Genomic DNA, 21,230 nt, shown 5'->3' on the forward strand with positions numbered 1-21,230 from the left:
GCCACTGGTTTCCTTTTTGGTGACCCCCATGATTTCTGGATGGCACTGCACCAAACCATTTCTCATGTGCTATGGTAACTATAAAATATAATAACATTAAGACAAGCTGGGTTTTCTTGGCAGCCAAATGGCTAGGGAAAGACAGGTTTCCAATGGGTGGAGGCTCTAAGATGCTCAGTGAGTGGCTGCATCTCCAGGGTTTGTGGACCAGCCAGTGAAGAGCTCAGAGTCTTTGCAGAAGAAGGCAAAGGATGGTGATTCAGAGCTGCATGGAGGAAAGTGGAGAGAAGAAATGAGGAGGGCTTAGAAGTCTCATGGTGATGTCTCCTAAGCTGTTTGCTGCATGGGGTGCAAAGGAACCTCTTCTCTCGTCACAAAACCTTCAGTAAAATGCATGAGTCACCAGTGCTTAAAGCAATGGATGTAGTCGTTGGGAGAGAAACAACATGCTGAGTTCAACTTCAAGGTTGGCCGACAGCATAAACTATGGGTGCCCAGAGGAAGCAGAAGACATTCAATATTTATATCTTTCTCCTCTTCCCTCCCATCTTCCCACCACCCCTCCACACTGAGAGGGCCATGAGGAGGCAGGCTTTACCTCATTCATCTCCAAGTTCACCCCAGTGCCTGGCCCGCAACCTGGTCCAAAGCAGACTCAGAAAATGTCTGAGGACTGAGCAAATGAATAAATGAGGGCAACTTGGGACTCCCTAGTTAATTCATTCAAAAAGATGAACAGTGTAACATAGAGCTACCATGAATTTTAGATGAGGGCAAGACCTGAATTCCATCTGGGATCATGCTTCTCATTGCCTCTCACCAGCATGGGGCCATTTATTTCTGTTTCCTCCCCAAGAAAAATGGGAATAATCATAACATCTAGGTCAAGGATTGTTTAGATATTTCAACAAAGTAATACATATAAGGCTTCTCAGCACACTGCCTAGCATCCATTAGTATTTGTACTATTGCTAATATTACCATGAAAGAATATTAGTGGGTCACCATAGTACATTCTGGGCACAAACCACAGGGCTTTTCAAATAGAAATGTGTACCCAAATCCCCTGGGAATCTTGTTGAAATGCAGATTCTGATCCACAGGCCTGGGGTGGGGCCTGGCACTCCACATTTCTAGCAGACACCATTGATGCCAATGCTGCTGTTCTGAGGCCCATGCTTGGCATGGCGAGGCCTCCCACAACCAAGACAGCAGAACAGAGGACAAGCCAACCCACAGCTGGAAATCATAGCTAACACAGCTCCTTCCCAAAGCAACCGTATCCACTCAATCCTGTAAGACCAAAGGAAATGCCTAGGGAAATCAAAAGAGATCATAATTAAATGAAATTTTCTTGCATTTTTCTTCATACAGGATTAGTTTCCGTCTCCCCTCTCTCATCCTCCTCTGGCAGCCTCTCCACAGCACCCATTTGTTTGGGATGAAATGATGCAGATAGGTGAGTTATCAACATTCCAGACATGGGCATGAATCACCAGCAAACAGTCCACCCTCTGAGTCACCCATCTCTGAGATGATTCCATCAATACAAAATCCCACCAGAAAACTCCAAAAAGAGGAAAAATGAGCTATCAAGCAAGAAAGGCATGGAGCAATGGGAAGAGAGGATGGCAAGTGAGGGTGAGTCAAGGCGCCCAGCACTACTTGCACTGGCTCTAGGTGAACTAGCACCACTGAGAGAAGTGGTTCTCAAATTTGGAGGCAACTGCAAAACTTTAAACATAGTGATTCTAGGTCCTATCCCTCAGAGCATTTGATTTAATTGGAGGGAAGTGCACACCAGATGGAGGGATTATTTTTAAAAAGCTCCAATGTGACACTTCGGAGAACTGGCATCAGTCGGCTCAGGATGGGAATGCCATCAGTGCTGGGCAATGCTCACCCCACTAAGCCAAGGGTTTCCCTTCTGTAAAATGGGATGAATAATTTGCTTCAGGACTGTGGTGAACATCACGGATAAAAAGTCCCAACAGTCTCCTTGGCAAACATTCATCATTCCTATGCATTTTCCTGCCAGGATAAGACCTTATCTTTTTGAACGCATATCTCATCTATAATTTCAAGCCAATTTAGCAAGTATATCTTATATATAATTTCAAGCCAATTTAGCAATCACCAACTTTGCAATTGCTTGTTTTCAGATGATGTTAGGCTTCAACTATCCTACTTGGCACATAAAACCTGTACCTTCTTTCTGAGCCTACTCTTTCTTCTTCTCCAAGCCTGAATTTCCTTCTTTTCTGTCAACACAGGTTGAGTGTTTAACATGGACCAGGTGCTTGGAATGCAGCCGAGAATAAGATAGCCCGGTCCTCACAAAGTCTACAGGGCAGGTAAAGCGACACCCCTTGGACAAGCATAGTTTGGATTCTTCTTAAAGTGAAAGTTTGCAGGGAAAGGGAACAGAAAGCTACAGATGGATTGATCTCTTCACTGTGTCTCTTTAACCCAATCGTTTAGCATTTCTGTGCCTCAGTTTCCCCATCTGTAACAGGAATGGTTCTTGTACTTACCAGCTGACACTGGGCAGGTAAACAGACTCTGAAGATGATAAGAACTCCTTATCAAGCACGTTTTATGTTAACCAAGACTTTTCTCCCAATCTCAGATCACTTTGCTAAGGGGGAACTAAAAAGGAAGCAAAGATTTAGTGCAGAGGCAAACAGATTGTTTTCTGTGTTCTAAAGCTCAGCCAGAAACACTTGTGCAGGTAAGAACTTCCTCCACAACACTGAGGAACAAGAGACAGCATGCCACTTTTAAATCAAATTCTGATGACCCCTATTTATTCCAGACACAAGCAGAGTCAAGGCTCTTTCCACTGCAGGCAACAAAATCTCATCTCAAACTTGAGCAAAAAACAGCATGGAGAGGGGATACTTATTCAGGCCCTGCTTCATCTGCGTAGTGAAATGATATCATCGGAAATCTTTCCTTCTGTGTGTCCCAAGAACATTCCCTTCTTTTGTTTTTTTCTCTAACAGGTTACTTTTACTATCAGCTCACCAACTCCAGGAGAAAACCAGCTACTCTTTCCCAATAGTCTCCCTATTCATGTCCCTCTGCCTCAAAAAACGAATACAAACTTCAGGCCAGCTAACTCAAATCTATGCCAGCCTGAACTAATCACCACGAGCAGCATCTTCACTCAGGCCAAGATAAAACCACACCCTGGAGCTAGTGATGGGGCAACAGCCACACCCAAGCCACATGGACCAGCAGAGACGGAGAGGAAGTCTCCCACAAGAGAATTGGGTGCTGATTCCAAAAAAAAGGCAAGCAAAACCAGTCACTGTCCACCTTTCTCTCTTATTCTACTCTGTTAGTCCCCAACACTTTGGCTCTTTTATAGGCTTTCTTTGCACAATCCACTCATTCTTGCAGGCTGCAGGGGTTCTTTTGCTTGCTCTAAAATACAGCTGGTAATTTCTAGATGGCAATTTAGTACATCCATTTTAAAATACTAAACCATCTTCTAAAACTTATATCCAAATCCACAGATATACATGATAGGAAAAATGCTTAGTTTTGTAGTGAGTATTCCTACAAGTTGAGTTTTTCAGTTCTTTCTTTCTAACATTTAAGGGCTTGCATAAGCTAGCCTGCTAAATGGTTTGTTTCTCATGCCTCGTCTTGTCCTTGGTTTCATAATACCACTAGACTGAAGCTTTGATTTTTCTGGGCCACAGTACTGCTCAGAACTAATCAAATGGATGTGTGTTATGAATCAAAAAAAATAAGTAAATTGTATCTTAACTCTTAAAGCAGGAGTATAAAATAAAAACAGGTGAACCATTTCCTCAATTTTTATTCAATTTTAAAACTATCCTTTCCCACTCCAACTTACACACATACAGTTAGATTATTAAAAATAAAAAAGGTATGCAAGCAAATTTATTTTATTTTATTTATGTATTTATTTATTTATGAGATGGAGTCTTGCTCTGTCACCCAGGCTGGAGTGTTGCGGCACAATCTCTGCTCACTGCAACCTCTGCCTCCCAGGTTCAAGCGATTCTCCTTCCTCAGCCTCCCCAGTAGCTGGGATTACAGGTGCCTGCCACCACGCCTAGCTAATGTTTGTATTTTTAGTAGAGACAGGGTTTCACCATGTTGACCAGGCCGGTCTTGAACTCCTGACCTCAGGTGATCCTCCCACCTCAGCCTCCCAAAGTGCTGAGATTACAGGCATGAGCCACCACGTCCACCCTGTGCAAATTTTCTAGTAGGAATTTTTGTAATAACCAAAATTGAAAAGCCAAAACGTCCATTCACTGGTGAAGGGATAAACAAAATGTGGCACATCTGTATGATGAAATAATAGTCAGCTATAAAAAGGACTGGATTGCATTTACAACACGATTGACCCTCAGAAACATTCTGCTAAGTGAAAGAAGGCAGACACACACAAGACTAGATTTTGTATGACTTTATGAAATATCTAGAAAAGGCAAATTCATGGAGACAGAGGGTAGATTCGTGGTTTTCTGGGCTTGGGGGAGGCAGCAGGGATTAACTATGAACAGGTATGGGGGTCTTATTGGGGTGGCAGAAATGTCCTGATACTGGAATGTAGTGATGGCTACAGGACTCACTAAGAAACTAAAAAATAATTGACCCTTCACTTAAAATGAGGGAATTTTATAGGAATAAATTATACCTCAACAAAGTTGTTCTAGCAGTTAAAAGACAAATGAAATGAGATAATGTGCCTGTTGCTCCATTGCAATGGTCAGTGACCCACCTACCCGTATTAGCAGGATGTCCAGACCATGCCCCTGAAGACACTCCGATACCTTCCACTTTTGTTAAGATTACAGAGGGAAGGTTCAGTTCTGCTCATATCTATCTCCAAGAACAAATTAGGTCCCAGCTTTTTGAGACTAGGGACAACCACAGCGAGAATCCCACTACCCCAACATTACACCCCACCCCAAAGTGGCCCAGACTCCCAGTACATCATGGCCAGGCCCCTTAAACTTACTGAAGCTGCAGACTTCCAGGGCATAAACCTCCCACAGCTTGGCCTCCTTTTTGGCAACCTAAAACCAGCACTCAGACCTACTCCCAGTTCCATGGCAGACCCAACCTCCACGGGCTATTTCATTCATCCCCTATGTAGGTCGCCAGATAAAATAAAGGATGCCCAGTTAAATCTGATTGCAAATAAACAAATCATCATCTTATATAGTTTAAGCGTATTCCAAATATTGCACAGGACATACACTTTAAAAACTGCCATTTATTTGGCAACCCTACAAAGGAAATGAATGAGGTAATTCAAGTGAGATGTGTTTTTATTTGCTAAATCGAGCAACTCCATCCCCACAGCTATTTTCTATTTCTTGGTACTTTTCTTTTCCCTGTCCCTAGGTCTTAGCGGGAACCCCGTCCCCCCAAACCCAGTAAGTCTTTCTAACTTGAAATCTCAGGGATGCCTGGCTGGCTGTTTGATTTCCCTCACTGTACTGCTTCCGTCCTTCCCAGGAGCAGCCTGGGCAGTTTCCACATGGAGCAACAGGCATTCTGGGAACTGAAAGCAGCTCGTAGGACTGGAGCACAGAGGGCTTGTTTAGGAACAGAGAGTGACATGGCTGGAGAGTCAGACATGCCTCGTCATGGGGAAAGAAGAACTTTATATGGCATCCCGAGGGCTCTGGATGGATTTCTGTAAGTGATGGAATGCCAAAAATGAAATCTGGGCAGTGAAGTAACACAATGTGTTGGATGTGTAGGAAAGATGACTTAGGTGATAGAATGGAGCAGTTAGGAGGCGGTGGTAATAGTCCAGGTGAGAGATGGCCAGCTCTGTGATTATTAACAGCATCACTCATTTCCATGTCATAGTCTTGACAACCTTCTACACTTGTATCTCATTTTCCTATTAGAATAGTTAAAGGCATTTTTGAATATAATTAGATCTTCCTGATCATTCTGTGGAGATCTATGTGCATCATTATCCATCTATTCCTGTTCATGATAAAGATCTCTCAAAATAATCATGGAATTTGCTAGATTTTACTGTAATTGGCTATAAAAATACATAAAATCATTGCATTAAAAAAAAAATCCCAGGGAGAAGCAACTGTGTTGTCAACCTTTTCCCTTCCAGAAGCCCCCATGGCCTGTTATGTTAACTGGTCCTCTCACCCACATGCTCTGTATTCCAGAAGTAAGATCAGCCTTGCTAAGGTTGTGAAGTCCTACAAAAACTCTGTTCTCCCCTTTCCCCTGATCAAGGGAGCCTCTTACCTCACACTGGTGTACCTAAGAGAAACCTAGAGCATCTCTCTGGTGGCCTCTCTTGCCGAGAAAATAGATACATAGTTTAATGCATGCTCTATCTTTGCTCAAGAAACACCTGTTAGTGTTAATATTTACAATTTCTCAAGCAACCACATTGTGCTGGAATCTTCTCAGGTGTTACTTCTAATCTCAACAACAACCTTGCAAACAGAGTATAACATTCCCATTCTACAAAGGAGAAAACCAAGGCTCAGACAGTCATGTCACTCCTGCAGCACTCGATTTAGCACTGTATTAAAGCTCCCACAACAGTTAGGAAGATGTGATTCTAATATCTTTCTATTCTCTGAGGTGAGGGATTGTGGCAAACAGTAATGACTATAACCATAAAGAGAATTAATATGTGCTGGGAGGCCACCGTACACCAAGCACCATTCCAGTTGCTTTAAATTGACAAACTTATTTAATTTCATGTTTATTTAAATCCTCTTCATGCCTCAGGTGCCAGACACTGTGCGCTGAAAACTATCTGCAGAGATCTCAATTTGCACCGTTCGAGTCCATCATGCCATTTTCTCTTTTCATTTTATTTAATCTTCAAAAAAAAAAACCACACACACAGAAATCTTCTTCATTTTGTTGGTGCTGATACTGAGGCTCAGAGAGGCAGGTAACTTAGCCAGGGTCACACAGCTAGAAAGCAGCAAAGCCAAGAGGCACGCCCAGGTCTGAGCCCAAAGCCTGAGCTGTTTCTGATGCGAGGAGTAAAATGGGGGTGAGGGTGGGGGGAAGATCGCCATCATTTCATCATAAAAACACATTTTCAAAGGATTTGAAAGTGTACACCATTTAATAAAGGAAACACTAGCATGTGTTTAGAAAATAACCAAACCTCAAAGTCTAAAATGTGTGCCTAATATCCAAGAGCAATTTTGATAAGATGGACACACCCTTTTAATGGATAAATTCAAACTTCTGAAAAGAAAAAGACCAAAATCTGTCTAGCTTTACTTTCCTATGACTGGATAGCGATTAGATGTTCGGTACACACACAAAAAAAATTAAATTAAATGGGACAGGAAGTGACTGTTGCTGCTTGGGGGAAAAAGCTTAGTAATTACACATTCTTCAAAATGAAAGGTCAGACTGTCCTACCCCAGTGAAATTGTCACACGAGCCATTAGCCATTTAAGCCAATGAAGTTCTGTCTTCGGTGTTTTGATCGATTTCAAAAGCTGTTCTTAGTTTCCAGTGCCTTGCTCTTCTTGGTCCTGAACACTCTGTGCAGGGAAAAAAGCCACACTAGAAGAGCAAACCACTGCATCAAGTGAACCCTTTATGAGCAGAGATGCTAAATCTGAGACACATTGACCCACGTCATTTGCAGTCTGCGTCTTCGCCTCCTTCTCAAGTGCCCAAAGATAACCTGCCTGAAGGAAGACGTGCTGACCAGAAAGAGTTAACACCACTCTCAGGATCCTCCTGCAGTCTTGTACAGGTGTCATTTTGGGGTGATCTCTGAGCTTTTCTTTAGCAATTCTCATTCTTTGAGAAAGGGCTCTATTTTGAAAGCCCTTACCAAAATTCTGCATCCCTTAGAGGCAAGGATTTCTCTTCTGGGATTTATCCATAAACAAAGCGGGTTAAGATGGGAGATGCAGAAATGACAGGAGATAAGATACAGAACTAGAATCAGGAAGCTGGGTTCTAGCCCTAGGTCTGGCAGTAACCAAATATGTGACTTTAGGCGGGTGGTTGACCTTCATGAGGTCTCTGTTTCCCTAGGTTGAACTTCATCTGCTTTTTTTTTTTTTTTTTTTTTTTTTTTTCAGACAGAGTCTCATTCTGTCACCCAGGCTGGAGTGCACTGGCTCAAACTCGACTCACCGAGGCGAGGTGATCCTCCTGCCTCAGCCTCCCAGTACCCGAGTAGCTGAGACCGCAGGCACGTACCACCACACCCAGCTAATATTTTGTGTTTTTGTGGAGACAGGGTTTCACCATGTTGCCTGGGCTTATCTCAAACTCTTGGGCTCAAGCCATCTGCCTGCCTTGGTCTCTCAAAATGCTGGGATTACAGGTGTGAGCCACTGTGCCGGACTCATCTTCAGCTTTTAAGCTGAATTGTGGGGTGCTCCAGGGATATAAAGGCAAGGTCATCTGAATCCCCATTCTTAGACCAATTCTGTGTCTTGCCTGCTGGGTTGAAAAAATATCTAATACCCACATAGGTGTCAGGCACTATTTTAAGTCCAGAAAGGCTTCAAGGAGGCAGTAAATAGAGTCTGGAAGAAGAGTGAAGAAATCGATACTGGAAGCTGAAGAAAGAACAAGCCATGATTTGTAGTGGCAGAAAGTTTAGCAACATATTCACCTGCAATAAGTTAGAAGATAGCGAGTACACCCAACGGCCACTTGAAGTCTGGCTTTGCTGCAGGCAAACGGCATGTGCCACTGCATGGCATGTGCCCAGGGTGGGCTGTAGAGTGGCTGCAGGAAAACTCCTCTGGGCTCAGGGTCTGAAGCAGGTGGTAGTCCCAGCTCAACACACACACACACACACAAATGACTCTTCCGAGGTCAGGAGCAGCACTCTTTCTAGAAAGGAGAACCTTCAGCCTGGAGACTTGCAGCAAGACTTCAGGGCAGAACCAAGAGTCTCAGAAGGTTTGGAGGCCTGAATCTGTCCTTGATCATTGCACCCAAGGTAAAGAAGATTTCCATGGTGTCTCCACCTCCCAAGAGCCTAAGAACCTGTGTAATGACAGAGTGTTTAACCAATGTTGGATGAGCCAGCTCCACTTTTACTGGATTCTGCTCTTTCCCAAGAAGACTTTGAAAGAATCAAGTACCAGGCATCAGCTACAATCACAAATGTAGCTATGGATTCCACCTGAGGGAAGGGGAATAGTTCAAATGCCCTCTAGAGATATCATGCGGTTGACTTAAGAAGGCAAGTCTCCATGGATTATCAAAACAGCAAACTACATGTGAACTTGAAGTTGGAACAAGGAGGAAAACCATGGATGAAAGGGAGAAATTCCAAAACAGCTCTGTCCAGTATGTTCCTTCTCAGAACCGAGAGGGATTGAGTATATTTGCATTTGAGATGACTTATATTAAAGAGAAGTCTGGAACGAAGGAGGCAACTCCATTTATTTATTTATTCATGCATTCCTTCATCCATTCATTCATTCAAGACAGGGTCTTGCTCTGTCATGCAGGCTGGAGTGCAGTGGCATGATCTCACCCCACTGCAACCTTCATCTCCTGGGCTCAAGTGTTTCTCCTGCCTCAGCCTCTAGAGTAGCTGAGACTACAGGCGTGTGCCACCATGCCCAGCTAACCTCACTCACTCGTCCCTCTCCCTTTTAGTAGATGGGGTTTCTCCATGTTGCCCAGGCTGGTCTCAAACTCCTGGGGCAAAGCATTTTTCAAGATGGGTTTATTCTTAAATAAGTGGAAAGATTCACCATGAACAGTTTATTATATTCTACTTTAGAAAAAATATACAAAGATGATGGTTTGACAGATTGATGATAGGAAACAGGTGACCCTTTCCAGACACATGACATCCACCTGCAGCAAAATCCAAACTAAGGTGATCCACAACGAATGTAATAATGTTGGAAACCTTTTGGTTTAACCTCCAAACTTATTTCTCCAAGAACTAAAACCCCATCAATGGGATTCACTTAGAACAAATTTGAAACATAATTTAGGCTTGGATAATCATAAGGGAAATTGTACAAGGAGACAGTCATCTCAGTGTGATAGAGACAAAGAAATCATTCTGCTATGGCTTATCCAGTGTTGAAAGTAATTATCCAAAACTCTGAATGTAATGATTATGTGAAAGCCTTAGGTCAAAAGTCAAACTTCATCACATGTTTTAGAATTCACAGTGGAGACAAGCATTATGGAAGTAATGAATCTGAGAAAAGAGATTAATGAGAGCATAACTCTTATGCAAGAAAGAAAACTTTACCAGAGCAAGAGGCCCTACAAATGCAGGCAAAGTGGGGAAGCCTATAGCCAGAAATCACATCTCATTAAGTGCCATAAAATTCAAACATGGGAGAAACCTTATGAATGTCATCATGTGGGAAACTTTTGTTTTCAAAAATAACACACGTCATTGTACATCAGAAAATTCATACTGCAATAAGTCCTCACGGGTGTAATCAACATGGAGAAATCTTTAGCTGTAATTCATCCCTCATTACACACCACCATGGATTTCACACAGAAAAGAAACCCTATGAATGCATTGAATATAGAGAATCCTGCTTTGGTAACATGCATCTCACTGCACATTAGGGCTAGGATGGGGGTTTATTATTTGCAACTGAGTCAGGACCCCAGCAGGAAACAGAAGGGCCTTTTAAATTAAGCTAATTCAAATAGAATTTATTCACAAAGATATTATTTACAAAGTGTAGGTGTAGGTGAAAGGAGTTAGCCAACTTGGGTCCCTGGGGAACCTCTAACCCACCCAGCAAGTGCTTACACTTGTGCAGATGTTTTGTGCAGATAAGGGAACTTGCACAGGGGGCTCGCCTGAACATGCTCACAACAGACTAAGGGTCTGCAGGTGCACTGGGGGAATGGGGTGACATCACCAAGAATCTGCGCCTTATACAAATAGGGAACCCAGCCCCGTCAGCATTAGATATATGCATATGCCCTTGTATTCAACTGTGAGGGGGTAATCAGCAACCTGCTTTCCAGGGCCCCTCTCTTAACTGAGAGCTTTCCTTAATGAATTGTACTCCACTCACTCTTTGATGACCACGTGCCTAATTCTTTCCGGTCGTGAGACTATAACCTGGACTTAGCTAAGGAGCAAAATATCCTGCATCATAGGGGAACCACAAGAGACATGGCAGTAACTCAAGGCACTGAGCCCAAGGAGATAAAGAACAAACAGTTAAAGCTGAAAGGAGAGAGATGTTAGAGAAGGCAAATTTCAAAAGAGCTATGGGGACACAAGGAGGCAGCCAGAGGAATTCATTGTCCAACCTTACTCACTCATCCCTCTCCCTCACATCTCCACTCATGCCCCATGGGCCGAGCCCTATCAGAAGCCAGAGGGCAACAGGCTTGGAGGGGTCAGGTCCTCCAGGCATTGTCTTCACAGCTCTGTCCTCTATCCTGGGCTCTGCACCTAGTATAACAAGTAAATTTCTTTACTTTGTTACAAGTAAAATTGTTTACTTCCAGGGTTTTTTTTTTAACCAGGAATTAGGGTTACTAAGAGTTAAAGTTTTAACGAATATATAAAGAAACAATTCTGTATATAAAATGGACAAAAAGAGTAGGACATGTTTAGGGCAAGAGAGGTTATAAGAAAGACATAAATATGTGGTTTTTGTTGAAGCCAGAGTTGAAGGGAGCCTGTGATGTGGTCAGGCCTCCAGGACAGTGGGCAGGTGCAGAGTGGGGAAGATGGGTCTGGCAGAAAAACAGAAGATGCCCAGTCCAGCGACCAGGAGCCCTCTGAGTAGTGACCTGGCCATCTTGTTCACCAATGACTCCTAAGGCATGCTTCAAAGCCTGGCCCAGAACAGGCACTCAATGAAAACTGTTGAATGAAGAAGGCAACTCACAGCAAGTAGATCTGCGGGCAGGCTGCCATTCAGCAGGAGAAAACTCACAACTCCTGTTTTCTTCAAGGGCCTTGGGGAGCACAGGAACAAGATGCTGTTATAACCCACATTAGATGGTCACCAAACAATTACATAACAACAAAAAAAACCATAATGCAGCAAGAGCTGATAACTTTAAGCAGAAGAGAGAAAGATGAAAGTGAATCTATGGGCACTGTAGTGGAAGCTTGCAAGATATGTTCCATTAAAACCCTGCAATTCCGACCAGTAGGTGTTTCCTCACCTTCAGTAAGCAAGAACACTCAAGTTCTGAGGGCTTTGTAAGTTTTCTACGCTCACATGGTAAACTGAAATTGGGATTTGAGCTCAGAACTATCTGCATTTTAAATCTGGTGTTTTCCCATGTTGCGGGATGTGGGATAAACTCTGCTCATGTTGAAAGACTAAAACAAATACGGCTGAGAATAACTTAATAGTTTTAAGAAAATGCCTCCACTCTGATGATGTGTCACAATAGCCACTAACACATTTTCTTTTATAAGCACTGACAAAAGCAGCTATTAGTTGCCAAATTCATGGCTCCAGACCCCATAAGCAAGTTAATGATTCACTTACTAACCCCCTTGCTGTTCCTTAACATTTGAAATGAAATGGGCAAAGTGCTTTCATGTACTGTAAAAGAAAGTGGCAGCTCACTAAGTGCAAAGAAAGGCCATTTTTACAACACATTTCTATTTATAATTATTGGCATTTGTGCTTTAATGGAAAATGGAAACCCTACTGCTTAACACGTTGAATCCCTCTTAAGAGAAAGCTAAGAAAAAAATTGGCTGGGCGCAGTGGCTCATGCTTGTAATCTCAGCACTTTGGAGCCTGAGGTGGGTGGATCATCAGGTCAAGAGTTTGAGACCAGCCTGGCCAACATGGTGAAACCCCATCTCTACTAAAAATACAAAAATTAGCTGGGCGTGGTGGCACTTGCCTGTAGTCCCAGCTACTTGGGAGGCTGAGGCAGGAGAATCGCTTGAACCCAGGAGACATAGGTTGCAGTGAGCCGAGATCGTGCCACTGCACCCTAGCCTGGTGACAGAGCAAGACTCCATCTCAAAAAAAAAATCAAATTTACCTTGAAAAACAAACTACATTTTTAAATAGCCTGGCCGAGTTTCCCAGTAGAACTACTTTTCCTAGAAAACTCAGAGGTGACTTTGAACTACAAAGAAATCCCTTGTCTTTCTTAAGAACTGGCTTTTCCATGGAAAGCCCCCTGCTATGGGAAGACTTTGCTGACTACAGTAGCATCAGTGATCAGTTCCTCCTCCTCTGAATGGCTTTAGCATTTATTACAAGCAACTCTTAGTTCTTTCATTAACAAATGATTTTTTGAGCACCTACCCACACCAACTGCTGTGGCAGGTGCAGGGAATAGAGAACGCAGAAGATAGAGAAGGGCTCTACCCTCATGAATCTTAAGCCACCAAATAACTAAACAGAATACTACCAATTGTGATAAGAGTTACTAATGGCAGCAGTGGCCCATCTAGAGTGACCACTGCCAAGACACTGGCTACAGTGAGGAGGCGCAGCTGGACCTCCCACTGAGAGCAGGCAGGAGCTCCACCCTCCCCAGGTGCCACTGCAGCTCCCCTGGTGTGGCTCCAGGCGTCTCTGTGCTCTTGGGGGACCAGGGAGGCCCCCCTGCCCCCTGCAGACTCAGAAGTGCCTGCTCCTACTGCGTGGCTTCTCTCCGCTTTCAGTGTCCTTTCCAATCTCAGAGGCATGGCCAGTGCTGCACACTCCATGAAGCTGGCAGGAACCAGGGACAAGCAGGAGCCCTGCCCCTTCTGAGTTGGTGGGGCAGGAGCTCCCAGGTGCAGCTGCAGCTGCCCAAGCCCAGCTATAGACCCAAGCATCTCTGTGCTCTTGGGGTCCTGGGAAGGCTTCCTCCCCATTGCAGGCTGGGAAGTGCCTGCCCCCACTGCCTGTCCTCTCCCCACTCCCAGGACCTGCTCCAATCATGGAGCAAGGTTGGGGCCAAGCCTGGGCACTGTCACAGCCTGGCCAGGTGGGCACATGCTTGGGGCAGTGCTGCCATGCCATCCCCCTGCTACCTGGGCCCCCTCTTGACTTTGAGCACCAATAAGCACAGGAGGGAAGCTAGGAGGAGGCTAAGGAGCTACCCTCTCCAGGGCCTCCTCTCTGCTGAGAGCAGCAAATGTTGGGTGACCAGCTGCAGAGAGGAGTTACCCTCTCTGCTGAGAGCTGAACACTCTTTGGGATGACCTGCCTGCAGAGAGGAACCACCCACTCCAGGGCCTCCTCTCTGCTAACAGCTGAACACTCAATGGGATGACCTGACTACAGAGAGGAGCTACCCACTGCAGGTCTCCCCTGAGCTGTTCTAACACTCAATAAATCTCCTCTTTGTCTTGCTCACCCTCTGCTTGTCTGCATACTTCATTCTTCCTGGATGCAGGACAAGAATTCAGGCAAAAGCGCCATCAGGCACAGAGGTTTCTGGCCAGAAAAGCAACACCCCAAAAATCCTGTACGATTTGTGGGGGGCTCGTCTGGGATCTGCAGAAGGTTGAGTAAAAGCAGATCTTTCTGTCCTTTTTTTTTTTTTTGGAGTCTCTAAACTACACAGCAGTCAAAATGAAAGAAAAATACCAGGCCTCTGTTAGCCAGTTAAAAGTGACTAGCGTGGGTGCTGCACAAGACACAGAATACAGGCTTGCTGGGGAGGACACTGTCAATCCCCCATCCCCCTCACGGGCTGGAAACATTGGCTTTGTTCCAACCCAGTTTTTCTTCACAAGGGTCTGGCCGTAGCATGGGACCAGAAAGAGGTCCTGGGTAGGGCAACTGAGGGTATTTGACTGAGGCTACACCTCAGTGTTATCCAAAGGCCCCTGGACTAACTCCTGTCCCCAGCCACCGATTAGGATGTCAGCACTAGGAGCTCCATCTTACCTATCATTTTTTCTTTCTTTTGCAGCTATCATGGTTCCTAATTCTTCTTTATATACAATATTAAATGTTAAGGATATTGTTGAAAATGACAGAAATATTACTGGGTAGAATGAGCATTTGGCTTAGTCATCAGGAGCGTACATGAGAACAATGTGGTGTCTGTCGTTTCTTAGAAGTAAGGAGGATATAACAATTGAGAGTTTTCTTTCCCCTGTTGAAGGAGCTCACATGCATAGGGCAAGAGGCTTTTTTTCCCCAGGCACCTTCCCCTCCCCTGCACTTAACTTGTCCTTTTGGGAGGCACCTAGTTGAGCCAGGACCCCAATTCCCAGGACTCCCTTTCTCTCCCTTGGTAGAGGAGGACATGGTCCCACAGCTTATGATAGGGAAGCAACAGAGGGGCTGCCCCACCAGCTGCTGGCTACAATTTGGCAAGAGCCACCTGGGACTAATTCAATGAGTCCATACATCCTTCTGAGGCACCTTTTTTCCCCCAAGCTTCAGTTTGAGGCCCTAGAAAGGAAAACTAGATCTGAGGGCTCCAGAGGCAGAAGACAGCAGAAGTCAAGGTGCACAGCACAGGTGAGCAGTCCAGTTAAGAATCTGTCCCTCCCTAAACCCAGCCACTTTCCTCCCAGAGGGAGCTGGGGAGCTTGAACATGACTACGAACAGATAGTAGTGCCAACTTACGAGACCAGAGAGGACCTCAAAGAAACCCCCTTAGAGAACTCAGGATGCATTCTCTTTATGGACAGAAGTTTCTTTGTGGAGCAAAGAATCCATAAGGTGGGGTATGCAGTAGTCATTCTGAATGATGTTATTGAGAGTATGCCTCTCTCCTCGGGCACAAGTGCTCAACTAGCTGAGCTAATTGCCTCACGAGGACACTTGAATTAAGCAAGGGGAAAACGGTTAACATTTATACTGTTTCTAAGTATGCTTTCCCAGTCCTCCATGACTACGCCACTATCTGGAAAGAGGGGGACTTCCTCATAGCCAGTGGGTCTCCCATTAAATACCAGCAGGAAATCAACAGACTATTATCTTCAGTCTTTCTTCCATGGGAAGTGGCAGTAATACATAGTAAAGGCCATCAGAAAGGAAGAGATGAAGTAGCCAAGTGAAATAAGTTGGCAGACCAAACAGCTAAGTCAGCAGTGAGAGGGCCTCAGATTTCTGATCCACTAGAGGCCCCTATGATCTGGGAAGGCACCACAAAGGAAATAAAACCTCAGTATTCTTCTGTGGAGATAGAATGGGCTGCTTCTCAGGGATATACCCTTCAGAGCTCAGGAAGGCTGCAATCAGGGGACAGCAAGATTCATCTACAAGGTTCCAGCCAATGGAAAGTCCTTATAATCTTCCACCAAGCCTTCCACCTAGGTAAGGATAAAACCTATCAAATGGCCCAAAGGTTGTTCTCTGGTAAAAATTTGCTAAAAACAATGATAGACTGGATTAAGAAAATGTGGCACATATACACCATGGAATACTATGCAGCCATAAAAAAGGATGAGTTCATGTCCTTTGTAGGGACATGGATGAAGCTGGAAACCATCATTCTCAGCAAACTATTGCAAGGACAAAAAAACCAAACACCGCATGTTCTCACTCATAGGTGGGAATTGAACGATGAGAACACATGGACACAGGAAGGGGAACATCATACACCGGGGCCTGTTGTGGGGTGGGGGGAGGGAGGAGGGATAGCATTTGGAGATATACCTAATGTTAAATGACGAGTTACTGGGTGCAGCACACCAGCATGGCACATGTATACATATGTAACTAACCTGCACATTGTGCACATGTACCCTAAAACTTGAAGTACAATAAAAAAAATTTGCTAAAAACAAACAGGTCATTAATGCTTGTGAGACTTGCCTTAAAAATAATCCCCTCAACCAATGGCTTCTCCACCCTGCAACCCAAAGAATAGGAGGCTACCCAGCGGAAGAGTGGCAGATGGATTTCACCCATATGCCAAAGACAAAGGGCATCCAGTACCTCCTAGTATGGGTAGATACCTTCACTAACTTGGTAGAAGCATTTCCATGTCAAACAGAGAAAGCCTCTGAGGTGATAAAAGTACGCATTAACAAAATGATGCCTTGCTTTGGACTTCCTAAGTATGTCCACAGTGGTAATAGCCCCTGGTTCAAGGTGGCTGTCATGCAAGGGTCCTCAAAGGCACTAGGCATAAAATTCTATCTTCATTGTGCTTGGAGACCACAATCCTTGGAAAAGGTAGAGAAGAGAAATGATATTATCAAAAGGCACCTAGGAAACTGGCTCAAGAGACTCATCTCCCCTGAGTTACTCTTCTCCCCATAGCCCAACTATCTGTTACGAACACCCCTTCAAAGCTGGGTTTAAATCCTTTCGAAATGATGTATGAATGGCATTTTCTCACCAATGATTTCTTGCTAGACCAAGAAACCTCTGATTTAATTAAACATATAACCTCTTTGGCCCGTTTCCAAAAGGAACTGAAACAACTATCAGAGGCCCAACCCCGTGACCTGGAGCCCCCTCTATTCAACCCAGGGGACTCACCACTGGTAAATGCTCTCCCTCTCCTTTCTCCCTCTCTACGCCTGGAATGAGAGGGACCTTACGCTGTACTTTTTTCTACTCCTACAGCAGTAAAGGTCACTGAAATAGATTCTTGTATTCCTTATACTCGAGTTAAGGCCTGGGAAACCAATGAAATTGCCTCTGTTGGTCCAGGAGAGCACCTAAAGTACTGGAGTGAGGAAATCGGGGACTTCGAGCTAAAAAATCACCAAGATTAGCAAAAAGATAAGTGCTAATAATTAACCCTCCAGGGATATCCTATGCTTACTATTCTCAACTTTGTTCTGTTCCTCACTGTAGGCATCTTTGTCAAGGACCCTTCCCAAGGGATTATCTACTCCCCTAAACAGTTACTTCTCTTTTAAAATTTAACTGTCCCCATAGAAGATTCAATTTCTCCCACCAGTGTGAAACAGCCCATCGCATACTTAACCTCCTTGTAAAATGTGTTTCTTCTCACCTAGAAGCCATTAAATTTCAAGTGGTCATGCAACTGGAGCCTCAGATGATGGCTCCTTTTTTACTGGGAACTCTTAGATAAGCCTCTGAGAGAGAACTGACTGCTGCTTTCCCCAAAACAATGCCCCCTGTCAGCATGAAGCAGTTAAGAGCAACCATCATCCCTATCCTAACAGCAGTTAGATGTACCTCTTTAGAAGGGGAAATGATGGCAGTAGCGGCCCATCTAGAGTGGCCACTGCCAAGACACCAACTGCAGTGGGGAGGCACGGCTGGGCCTCCCTCTCCATGGAGCAGGCAGAAGCCCCATCCTTTCTGGTTGTTGCTGCAGCTGCCCTGGCATGGCTCAAGACCTGAATGTCTCTGTGCTCTTGGGGGCCTGGGGAGCTCAAAAGTGCCTGCTCCTGCTGCCTGGCTTCTCCCTGCTATCAGCAGCCTCTTCTTTACCAGAGCTGCACACTCCATGGAGCCAATGGGAGCTGGGGACAAACAGGAGCCCTACTGCTTCCAAGTTGGTGGGGCAGGAGCTCCCCAGGTGCAGATGCAGCTGCCTCAGCCTGGCTGCAGACCCAGGCATCTCTGTATTCTTAGGGGCCCAGGAAGGCCCCATTGTTCCCCACTGGTTCACGCCTGCCTGGCCTCTCCCTGCTCCCAGCACCCACTCTGATAGTGGAGCAAAGTTGGGGCCAAGCCTGGGCACTGTTGCAGCACAGCCAGGTGGACGCATGCTTGTGGCAGCACTGACACACCAGACCCCTGCCACCTTGGCCCCTTCCAGAATTTGGGCATCAATGAGCACAGGAGGGAAGCTGAGGAGGGGCTGAGGGCAGCTCAGCACTGTCCTGCAGGTGCCCCTTGGCACAAAGAGCCTAAGCACCATGAACAACAGGGGAGGCAGACAGGCTCCTGGGCAGAAGGAAAGGGGTCTCCAGTGAAGACCCACCTTCAGGCTGGAGAAGGCCTGGAGCCTGGGGGCCAGGCTGCCAGTCCTGCAGACTGGAGGGGGAACTCATGGTGCTTTTTCCTGCCCATGATCCAATCACCAAACACTTCCTGCCTCTGAAGACGTTGAAACCCTGGACTCGGCCAGAGCAGAGCAGACATCAGGATGACCAGCTGCAGAGAGGAGCTACTCACTCCAGGACCTCCTCTCTGCTGAGAGCTGCAAACAATGGGATGACCAGCTGCAGAGAGGAGCTACCCTCTCTGCTGAGAGGTGAACACTCATCAGGATGACCTGCCAACAGAGAGGAGCTACCCACTGCAGGTCTCCTCTGAGCTGTTCTAACACTCAATAAAGCTTCTCTTAGTTTTGCCCACCCTCCACTTGTGTGCGTTCCTCATTCTTCCTGGATGCGGGACAAGAATGAAGGCAAAGGCACCACTGGCCACACAGGTTTCCAGCCACAAAAGCAATACCCCAAAGATCTCGTAACATTGTGATGGAAATAAATCAGTTGATATTTTCAACTTTAAATAATGAGATTCAGAAACTATTATAGAGTTTATACAAGCACAAGCTTAAGGATGGCCACCTGGAAAACACAGGCTCCAAAAGAATGGGTCAGCATTGCAAAGTGGGAAAGTAAGATTTTTACTTATATAGACAGTGAATGGGGCTGCAACCCTCTCTACACGAGATCACTATACACATTACAGTGATTTGATTGGTTACAGCTTGCTACGTTCCAAGGAAGAATGCTTTAACATTCCATGAGGAGGGGTGATGATCTAAAGGGGTCTTATCCTTGGTGTCATCTCTGTGGCCTTTCCTAATCATTTATAGGAAAAAGCAGAAGTTGTAACTGCATGCTATGTGACTCAGACCACATAGCCAGCCACCACATGCCTCTCAAGGCTCAAAATAGTTTAAAGCTTCAACTGCTTTAAGTCTGAATTATTTAATTTCACAACATCATTGAAAGTGACTAGGTTGAGGGCAGTGGTATCCTAGTAAATGTTTAACCACTAGCTCTCCAGGGAGAAATAAGCTTGGATTTAGAGCATTTGCCAATTTCTTTTGTGCAAATGCTCTCACCGTGGCTGATCTCAAGCTACTAACATGACACCATTCAAAGTGGACTTGGGAAGAGATGTGGAGCAGCAAACCATTGTATAAGATTTCCACCATACAGAGAAAGTAGACATATATAACATCAAAAGCATGAACAAAACTACAATGCAGTAAAATGTGTTTGCTTTCTCAACACTTGTATAAAGCTGCTGATATCCTGTATTGAAAGGCCACTTCACAAGAACATAACATGTAATAATGTTTAAAAACAACTTCAATGAAAGAACTTTAAGTCTTGATGTTATAAATGTTTCTCTCAAGTTGTTTTCATCAGGAGGACATGAAGGCTGAGGTGGGAGGATCAGCTGAGGCCATGAGTTTTGAGACCAGCCTGGGCAACATGAAAGGCCACATTTCTACAAAAAAAAAAAAAAAAAATCTTTTAAATTAGCCGGGCGTGGTGGCACATGCCTGTAGTCCCAGTTACTTGGGAGTCTGAGGTGGGAGAATCACCTGAGCCCGGGGAGGTCAAGGCTGCAGTGAGCTGTGACTGTGCTACTGCACTCCAGCCTGGGAGACAGAGTGAGACCTCATCTCAAAAAAAAATTTTTTTCAACTCTTCTCTAAGGACAAGTAGCAATCACTTTATGTATAAGAGTCTTCAATATTTTTAGTGTAACTAACAACATTGACAATGGCATAATAAATACATCATTTTGAAGAGAAGGGAAAAAAATGCAGTGACATAATTAAGAACTGATCTCAAAAACAAAATCTTGGTCTCAGAAACCATTCCCCACTAAAAACCAGAGCTCTTTGGAGAAGTGGCTGATTTCAGGGCTGGAGCAGGGAAAGTACAAGTATACCTGAAACATCTTGTTATAACAGAAAATAAGAAAGTGGTTGAAACAATAATGGCATGTCAAAAGAAGTGGCTCCCACTGGGTAAATCTCAGGCAACTTGAGTACCAAAATGATTAAGGACAATAGTGAATTTAAAAAAACCATTGGGAAAGACAGGAATCCATGAGTGTGTACTGCTGAGAAATAGAAAGACAAATAAGTAAATACAAGAAAAATGAAAAGGAGAGGGGAGTAATATGGTTTGGATGTGTGTCCACTCTGAATCTCATGGTGAAATGTGATCACCACTGCTGGAGATGGGACCTATGGGAAGTACTGGATCATGGAGCTAGATCCCTCATGAATGGCTTAGCCATTGCTTGGTGATGAGTAAGTTCTTGCTCAGTTAGTTCACGTGAGATGTAGTTGTTTAAAAGAATCTGGGATCTCCTCCTTCTCTCTCTTGCTCCCTCTCTCACCATGTGAT

General features: G+C 44.7%; 1 annotated feature.

The window, feature by feature from the left end:
• Positions 1,000 to 2,199: an enhancer, noted in NCBI's record as "CDK7 strongly-dependent group 2 enhancer chr20:54834703-54835902 (GRCh37/hg19 assembly coordinates)". NCBI's record gives its function as "activates an origin of replication core promoter dependent on BRD2, BRD4, P300/CBP, MED14 and CDK7 cofactors, with strong dependence on CDK7, by STARR-seq in HCT116 cells {active_cell/tissue: HCT116}" and the evidence as "EXISTENCE:reporter gene assay evidence [ECO:0000049][PMID:35650434]".

Source organism: Homo sapiens, chromosome 20, assembly GCF_000001405.40.
Source record: "Homo sapiens chromosome 20, GRCh38.p14 Primary Assembly".
Lineage (NCBI taxonomy): Eukaryota > Metazoa > Chordata > Mammalia > Primates > Hominidae > Homo > Homo sapiens.